This window comes from Homo sapiens, chromosome 7 (genome assembly GCF_000001405.40).
Source record: "Homo sapiens chromosome 7, GRCh38.p14 Primary Assembly".
Taxonomy (NCBI): Eukaryota; Metazoa; Chordata; class Mammalia; order Primates; family Hominidae; genus Homo; species Homo sapiens.
The window spans coordinates 21,156,338-21,166,444 of NC_000007.14; positions in this window are offsets into that span (position 1 = coordinate 21,156,338).

Genomic DNA, 10,107 nt, shown 5'->3' on the forward strand with positions numbered 1-10,107 from the left:
ACTTTTATTCATTTTCCCAATTTCTCAATTGATTTTTCTCAAGATTCAACATTTAGAAAAACAAATTTCCCAATAAAATCCAGAAAGGAATTCCCAAGTGGAAATTCAAGAATGGACTTGACTGGAAGGACAAAACAACAAACCGTTCATAGAGGAAGGGTGTCCACAGAGGGCGACTTACCAGAAAGCTAATTAAAGCTGAAGCTGTGGGCCCCTGACTTGCTCCAACCCTTTCTGAGGACCTGGGAAGGGACCCTACAATATGTGCACATGGTCAAAATGTTTTGTACCAAAAATATGTACAACTATTATATATCAATACAAAATTTTAAAAAATCGTACTACTTCAAAAGTAAAAATTTGTTTTGGTATTCTTTCATTAAAGATGGCTCTCTAATTATACGACTTTCAACTCCACAATATCTGAATCCATTCCTGGATGCCATGGGGAGGCAGCTATAACACCAATACCAAAAAGATTAGCTTTGTTACATGGAGCCTGGTGAAATAGGATAATATAGTCCATGCTCCATAAACTCAGTTGCATACAAAAACAAGGAAGTGTAGAGTGTGAGGCAGCAGGGAGAGGTGGGGCCTGTGGTGACTGTCACAGGACATTCCCTTCTGAGGGGATCTGCCACCTACTCCACTCTAGCTAATTGATACCATATGACAATGAGGCCCCAGTTAAGTCAGATCATCCAATTATTCAAGAGGATCTAGAAATCTTAATTTGTACATGAATCTCCCAGTTTCTGAATCTTAGCAACTAATTAAACATGTTTTAGATACTGTACTGGCCAAACAAAACGTGTCAGTGAAACATGGTGTTCTACAAATTGGCTGCTGGCTCACAATCGTTAAATACCTGATCTCTTTGAGATCTCATAGCCCCAAGAGTAAGTCCATTCGCTCCAAATAGCTAGCCTGAGGCCCATCCTTCTCCACTCCAGAGCCCATCCTGAGGCTTTGCCCTCCCATAGGGGCATCTTCCATTTCCTGTCTATAACCCATCAAAACCTGATTCCATCAGTGGTCCCTCATTTCCCCAAAATGATAGAAGAGATGCTACCTAACTAAAAAAGTGGGTTACAAATGAGAGTGCTTTTTAGAATGATTCACATCTTAAAAGAGAACGCTTATAGGCTGGGCACAGTGGCTTATGCCTGTAGTCCCAGCACTTTGGGAGGCCAAGGTGGGCAGGTCACTTGGAGCCAGGAGTTAGAGAGAGACCAGCCTGGCCAACATGGTGAAACCCCACCTCTACCAAAAATATAAAAAGTAGCCGGGCGTGATGGTGTGCGCCTGTAGTTCCAGCTACTTGGGTGGCTGAGGCAGGAGAATCGCTTGAACCCAGGAGGCAGAGGTAGCAGTGAGCCGAGATCACACCACTGCACCCCAGCCTGGGCAACAGACTGAGACTTCTTGTCAAAAAAAAAAATAATAATAATAACATTTTTTTAAAAAAAGAGAAAGCTTGTGAACCCCAAGCCACTTTCAAGTTGCCTGAGGGAATAAAATAAAACGTACTGCACAGCTTTCCAGGAGACATTTAGGAGTCAAGAATCTTCTTGGATCTCCTAAATTTCATCAGCATCTAATACACGCTAAGGAGCAGGGATAGCTCCGCCTCATTCATTCATTATTTTATTCATTAAGAAAATGGGGTTTAGTTTATACTATGTGCTAGGCACAGAGATGGGTCACAGGGGCAAAGGACACACAGGCCTAGTAAGAGCCATGTCTTCAAGGTTAGCACAAACGTGTTAAAGAAAACAGACAAGCAATTGGGCCGTTATATTGCACTGCCTCAGAGTCTAAGACTGACACTCTTCAGAGGGGACTATAGACCAATGTCCCGTCCTTTCTAGTTCCCCCTCCTTCCTTTCTGCCACCCTGTAGGTCTTCACTCACTCCAGGCCCTGCCTCCCTCTATTCTTAACTCTCAGGTGTGATAGAGCTTCCTAACCCCATGACTGGCCTCTCTGCACAACCTGGTTTCTACCAGGACAGTGAATTTAGCAACTGGGTACCACTGGCCCACTCTTGTCTCTAAATGCCTTTGGTTTTCTCACCTGCAAACTGTGACTTATGCTGTTCCTCCAACCAGTAATGTCATTGGCTTGTTCCTTTGCCATCGCTCTTGTGCTGTTCTGCTTTCCTGTTAAGTTAGTTGATTCTATTTCTACTTTTGTTATCAATCCACAAGGTCCAGAGTCATGTCTTTTTAATCTGCGCATTCCCCAGAGTGTTTGTGGGTTTGTGGTTTTGGTGCTCAATAAATGTTGATGTAAGTGTAATATCCCACCTTTCAATCTGTTTGTAGAAATCCTAACTATCATTTGAGGACTAAGTAAAGTGCTGTCTTTGTCGGGCAGCCTTCTCTGATCACCTCAGCCTCAGAGAATGGTCTCTTCTTGTTTGGAATATCTAGAGTTTTGGGTTTTAACTGCTGTCACTGCCCTCCTCACACAGGGCTTTGTACTGTAAGCACTGTGTACACGTGTCTCAGTTCTACTAGAATAATTTTTCTGAGGGTAGGTGGAGTTTCTTCAGATCTTGCCATGTCCCATAGTAAATAGCATGTGGCATTGCCCGTAGTTGGATTTCAACGTGTGTGAACTGAATTAGTGTGACTGAACAAATGAATGAACTGAGTAAATGAATAGGGCAGGTTTTGAGGAGGTAGTCAGACCCTAACTGATTCTGCCCAACTACCCCCTTCATTTATGCTTAGATTTCAGAGTTTGATACATAGTTTACATGGGTGTTTTTATGTCTCATAGGCACCTATAAAAATAATGATTGTCATTCATTTAATTTCCCAAGTAATCAAGAACCACAAGTCCTTTTGTGTCAAATCCTTATTGAAGAATGTCTTTATGATAACAGGTAGAAGAAGTTCATTATGATGTCCAGATCATTATACAGTCTATAAAATATTAACTCTTAAATAGCTATGAAGGTGCTTAAGACTCTTCACTTTTACTGAGTTGAAACCAGGTAGCTGTACTTTTTACATTACGTCTGTAACATTTTTCTCTCTCTTCTCTTACATGTTGCTATTACTACTTCCAGTAGCCTTCTCCCTTCGTCTCTCATCAATTTAGCTTATTTAATCAACAATTGTTTGTTGACCATCTATTATGTGTCTTTAAATCTGCTATGGACCTGAAAAGCAGACATCTCAGTTTGTTCGAGTAGCATTGAAAAAATAAATTTGAGTGCAGAATCATGTATTAGTAAAACAACCACACTTCAGTGCATGGATTTTGGAAACTCTATTTTGGATTCAGAGTGAGGAAGTAGATATCTCACTCTCAGCTATATTCCAGAGAACAAAGACAGTTGAATAATTAACTAGGGGATGAGTACCATATGACTGGACTGATAGTCTCTAAAACAGATTTGATAGCCAAGGAGATGAAAGGATTGACTGCATTCCTCAGAGAAACCAAGTTGCATCCTGACTTCTCTCCTCTTGATTTTGCCATTAAAACATGTTATCTCCTCATAATAAATCACTGGAGAGGTTGTTAGAATAGTGGAGGAAAACAAGGGAGAGTGGTATTGAGGAAAGAATAAGAAAACCATGAAACCATACTTTGCAAAGACTAATAATATGATATAGTCGAGAAATTAACAGGGTTGTTTTTTGGTTTTCTTCCTTTCTGGCAAGAAAAAAAAAAGAGTGGCCAGTTACACAATATTTCTCATGAATATTTTCATAGCCACAGAATAGACAATGTAATACTGTCAACAGTAATGGATTACAGATCTATCTAAAATATAACAATAGCTCACAAATCAGTGTTTAGGGCAATAAACAGCTGCATCATTAATTTCTACCTCAGATTCATGAGTGATTACACTTTGTATCTCTAAAAGTCCATAGACTAACTATTGGAAATGAAAATAATGTGCCATTGATTTGGGCAGCCTTTTAGAATACAGGAATAATGATCTGAGGGATTTTTAATTATCTAAACTCCACCAAGAGCCCTTGAGAGCTTTTCAAAAAAAAGAACATGAGCCAATATGTAAAAGGTGCCTGAGAAAATGTGATGTGCTTTGGACGAATTTAGATTCTATAGCAAAGAGGCTAACATAATGCAGAGAATTGAGTCCGTTGTGCCTCAGAGGAGACTGGGCAGAGAAACTTTCAAGAAAGACAGATGAATACCCCGTACAGGAATTTTTATACTGGAGTAAATAGTATGCAGCCATCTTGGTGGTTACAATTTTACTATCTGCATATGCCTGAGGACTGTTGCAAGTCATAAACACATGCCAAATGACATCAGAGACAAGTGTGGGCATTGGCTGCCTTTTCACCTTGTATCCATCTGTGTGTTAAATAGCTGATGAGATGGGCTTTTTTTTCCGCCTTGCACCTATAAGCCAAAGTCATTGTCCTGTCAGTGTATAATGCTTTTATATTTTGGAGTGCTAGCCACGGAATTTTTCCGCTGCATAATGGATTGGCAGCTGCATCCATAGTCCGACTTAATGTGTACAGGAGGGGAGAAAGAAAGGAAATTGGGTCCAAGACAAAGGAAAGTGAAGACGACGTTTTCTATTTGGAATGCTGGGCCTGAGCCCCTCTCAGTGAAGAGCTTCTTAGGCTGTCCTGGACAAGCTATTTGGTTTCTCCTCCAATGATTTCAGAGCCCCAAGGCTCATCAAAATGGCAAATATTTTTCAATGAGTCTGTCACCCCTCAAATTTCTGAAAAGCTGAGCCCTGGAGAAAACTGATATGATGCACACCTACCCTTAGCTCCACTTGCAGTGTTTCCTAAGCCCACTTTTGTCTGGTTTCTAATCTATCAGGTAATAATGTTAATCTGATATTTCTGAAGTGCTTCATGGTGTTTGTCTATGAAAGGGGCTGTGGAAAACCAGAATGATGGATTGGCCGTGGATTTGACAGGAATTCAAATCTGAAAAACAAGCCTACTTATCTGAAGGTGCCAAATAACCATCATATGTTTCCCTAAAATGAGAGCAATACATAAAATTCTTGTAAGATGGGGACACTAATTTCCATGTTTGCTACACCATTTTAGCAGTCCCATAAACCTGTAGTAGCTTTAACAGAAATATGGCTGGATGAGGCATATTTTATTCTTCAGTATGCAAGCCTAATGAATAGAAACTTTAACACGGTCTTAAATAGTCCCTGCATCCAAACTTGGTTAAGTATTTTTAAAACACATACAGTTTATGCTCTACCTTTAATATTTGGGAGGGATAATCTAGTATTTGGTTATGTTTTATAGGATCAGGACTAGTGTGAGAAGACAAACTGCAAATCTTAGAATGAAGGCTTCTGCCCAAAGTATGGCCCAACCTTATGGATTTAAAAGAAAGTCACCGAAATCAGCATAGCTCCTTATTTTGCCAAACATGATAATTTTACAGAAGCAGCCTCTTATTCTCTCTCCCCCATCCATCAACTTCCGATGATGGTCCCCACCCTGAGTCTTTGGTAAATCCATCCTGTGAGTACTCCATGGGGCCTACGTTAAAGGTGAGAATTTTAAGTTCTTTTTCCTCTCACAAATGAAACTGGTGAATTGAGCTAAACAGTGTCCTATATTAAGCTAAATTCTACGTAAGCAAAGCTTAAGCATATATGCTTACGTATATAGAAGAAAAGTATATTTTATCCTACTGAATTTTTAAAATAAGCTGTTCCTAATATGAAACTAATATACCACAGACCAAAAAAAAAAATAGAATATTCAAATAAACAAAAGGACAAAATGGAAAGATAATCACATTTAACCTTTGGTGTCCATCTTTTGAGATTTATACTTACATAACACAGCCGTTCCTCAGTATCCTCTGGGGCTGGTTCCAGGGCCCCCACAGATTTTGTGGGTTCTCTATTCTGTTCCATTTTTCAAATATTTTTGGTCTGTAGTTAGTTGTATCTGCGGACACAGAAACCACAAATATGGAGGCTGACTGTATATAATCATAGATAGCTGATTTTTACATATCAGGCTTGAGTATAATGAAATGTACTTAAATATAATTAAAATACATATTTTTAGGTAGTGGTAGTGTTTGCACAACAGTGTGAGTGTACTCAATGCCACTGAACTGTACGCTTAAAAATGGCTAAAATAATAAGTTTCATGTCTGCTTTATCACTATTTTAAAAACACACATTTTTAAAATAAAATGAGATGCTAAAGAACATGCTCCTTTGTTATTCCATTCTTATTTTAACCTGATATATTACAAGTACTGTATCTCTCCATGTCAGCCAATACAATTCAAGAATATCATCTTTAATGGCTATAAAATATTCTGCTTTGTGGGTATGTACTTTAGATTATTTAAATCAGGGATTCTCACTCTGGCTGCATATTATAGTCACTTGGACAGTTTATAAAATACAGATGATCAGGTCTTACCTCATAAAAGTCTTGTTCAATTGGTCTAGGGAGGGACTTGGGCATCAGCATTTTTTTAAAACTTCCCAAGTGATTCTAATAGTCAATCAATGATGGCAAACACTGACTTTTTATCTTTTCTTATTAAGAAAAGATACGTAAGAAAAGATAATTAAAGAAAAGATTATTTTAATTATCTTTTTAATTATTTAATTATTTTAATTATCTTTTCTTAGGTAAGCCATTTTCTGTTTTTTACAATTACATATAACTCTGAAAAGATTAAGTTTAAAAGGATTTTGTAGCATATACCCATAGTTACTTATCTTTTACTGAGTATGATGACCATATACTTTATCTTACAAACTGGGACACTTCTGAAAGTGAAAGGAGATATGATTGTTCATTATTCCAAGACAAGATCTGTGCAAACCAGGCTTATCTGTGGCAAATTGGGTCATAGATGATTCCACTAGTCAAAACATATAAACTATTAATACATTTGGTAGTTTTTACCTAAGGTCATCCAAAATCAGCATACCAATTACATCCATAGTTTTTGAAAGAACCTGTACTCTGAAATCTACAATATTAAAAAGTACATTTCTTTTTAAAAAGTATTTATTGAACAACTACTATATGCCAGCTTGTGCTAGATATGAGGAATAATTGTGAGGAGGAAGCAACATATAGTTTCCATTTCATAAATTTACCAGGAATTGTAGACATTATAAAACCGCATGATGCCATAGATATTATCATTTTATTCAACCTTGATAAATTTATTAGGCAAAAATTGTACTTTCTTGTTTTCCTTTGTATTCATGTGGTCACTCATAAAATTGAACATATTATTATCTGTATTTCTCCCTTCATGCATTATCCATTCATATCTTTTCCCATTTTGCTATCATATGTTTATAGCTTTTTTCCGTTTATTATTTGATTTTGAAACTTATGGTAGGTTGTGATAGAAGATTAAAACTATTTCTGACTTTGATACTATAATTCATCTTTAATTCATAATTAATAATTTGGTATAAAAAGAGGTAAGGAACTTGTATTAATGATTTCAAGTAATTAAACAATTATTCATTAGCATTTTTTGAAAAAAAAATTATTATTTGTTTTCCCTGACTAATTTGAAATGCCTTCTTTGGCATGCAATAGAATCTCATATATATGCAGATCTGTTTCAGGGATTTCTATTGCATTCCTTTGTGCTTTCTCTCTGTTCTTATAATATTATCTCACCAATTCAATTATTTTGTGTCATACTATGGTTTGATCATCTGTGCAAGTCTTCCTACCAGATTCTTCTTTTTAAATACATTATTGGTTACTTTTGCCTTTTCAATTTTTTTTTTTCAGGTAAATTTTAGAGGCAGGTTGTTGAGTTCTCACAAAAATCCTATTGGAATTTAATTGTTATTTTATAAGATAGATAGATAGATTAGTTTAAGGAGAATTAACAACTTTACAAGATTGATGTTCATCCAGGAACTGGATATGTCTGTCCACTTATTCAAATATTCTTCTATATGCTTTATTTTTCAGATTTTTCAGGTCTTTTCCCACAGGTCCTGCATATTTCTTGTTAGGTTTATTTCTAAATATTTCTTTGTTTGCTTTGCTTTGCATTTATGGGTATGTATATGTATGTGTGTGTGTAAAGGAAATTTTTTAAGCCCATTTATATTGTCTAAATGGTAGTTTCATCCTACTGATTTTTTTCCAACTCTATCTGATAGATACTACCATGCTATATAAGACAACAACATATACCAACAACTTGCATAAATAAATCCCTCTAATTTGAGTTACTTTGCTCTATTTTAATTTAAAATATTACATAGTAATGGTCTGGCTTACTTCAGGCTCAATCCATAGTAATTTGCACCATCCATTCTTTAATTCACCAGATATCATTGAGACCCTTCTATGGCCTCATGCTGAGCCAGGTATAGAGGTATGATGGTAACGAGTGGGACAAGAGTTATGAACGAGGTATGCACAGGGGATCTAATTTAGCTACAGTCCCAGTTAGGCAAAGTTCCCCTGAGAACAATGATACGTAAGCTGAGGCTTGAAGGGTGCACAGGATTTAACCAGGCAAAGAGGAGGAGAAAGAATATTTAGAACACAGACAACAGCAGGGAAGGACTCTGAGCCTGGGCAGAGTAGGCAGGAGAGTGGCTCTGAGTGGGGCTTGCGTGTTGGCAGGGACCAATGCCACAGGGCATTTGGGACATGCTAAGGCTTTTGTATTTTATCTTGGGAGCAGTGAAAAGCAATGAAGGGTTGTGTGAGTCCGTTTTCATGCTGATAAAGACATACCTGAGACTGGGCAATTTATAAAAGAAAGAGGTTTAATGGACTTACAGTTCCACATGGCTGTGGAAGCCTCACAATCATGGTGAAAGGCAAGGAGGAGCAAGTCATGTTTTACATGGATGACAGCAGGCAAAGAGAGAGCTTGTGTAGGAAAATTCCGTTTCATTCACTACTAGGAGAACAGCACAGGAACAATCCCCCCGCATAATTCAATCACCTCCCACCAGGTTCCTCCCATGACACGTGGGAATTATGGGAGTTACGATTCAAGACGAGATTGGGGTGGGGACACATCCAAGCCATATCAAGTGTCTAAATAAGGAAGTGACATAAACATGTCTCCATTTTTGAAAGATAATCTGGATACAGTGTGGTGAATGAACTCTAGAAAAGCAAGAGAATTTGTGCGGTGAATAATAACCAGGTTTTTGGAGCAGTCTACCTAAACTAACCAGGTCTACCTGAAAGATGACATTATTAGACCAGGGAGGCTATAAGTGAAAACCAAGTTATGGAATAAGGAGGCATCTAGAAGACAAGAAAAACAGGATTTGCACATTGATTTAATGTGGAATATGAGGGTAAGAGAGAAGTCAAGAAAGACTTGCAGGGTTTGAGGCTTGAGCCTCAAGTTGCTCAGAAATGCCATCCATGAACTAGGAAATACTAGAGGGCAGATTTGGGGAATAAGGGGAAATTCTAAGTTCCCATTTTGGAAGTTTGGAGGTTAGGGTGCCTATGAGACATGTAAGTAAACACATAAAGTAAACCATTGTTATATGGAGACGGGACTTATGAGAGAGGTTTGAGTGGAAAATATAAGTTTAGGAATCACTAACACATAGATGGTGGTTGGGATAGTACAGCTGAATAAAATTGTCTAAGAGTGAAAATAAGCATTAAAAGGCCTAGATCCTAAGAAAGTCTGAAACAGTCAGGCTCAAGTTGGGTTAAACAAGAAAGAAATAGATGAAATAATGATTTTAAAATATTTAATGGTATTTGAGAACAAGAAAAGGGAAGGAGGTGAAGGCTTATATAATTTAATTTGGTGCTCCGTACCCACTATAAAAATCTTAACCATCTTATTACATTCTGATGTGTTCTACTGAAGAGAGCAATTTCTTTGCAATTTCCCAACATCCTGCTTTAATATCCCTTGGTGGGACACAATTTCCCAGCCTAAAATGGTGACAGACCCCCTTGCTGAATTAGATGTAAAAGTTCCCCTGTAGAGCTGAGTTAATGCTCAGAGGCCCTTGAAACGAAGTGGCCCTTCTTCATTTGAAACAGGCTTTGATCTCTCAGACTTGTGTCCTCCCAGGGAAGGGTGGGGATAGATAGGCTTCTACAGAGTCACCACCATT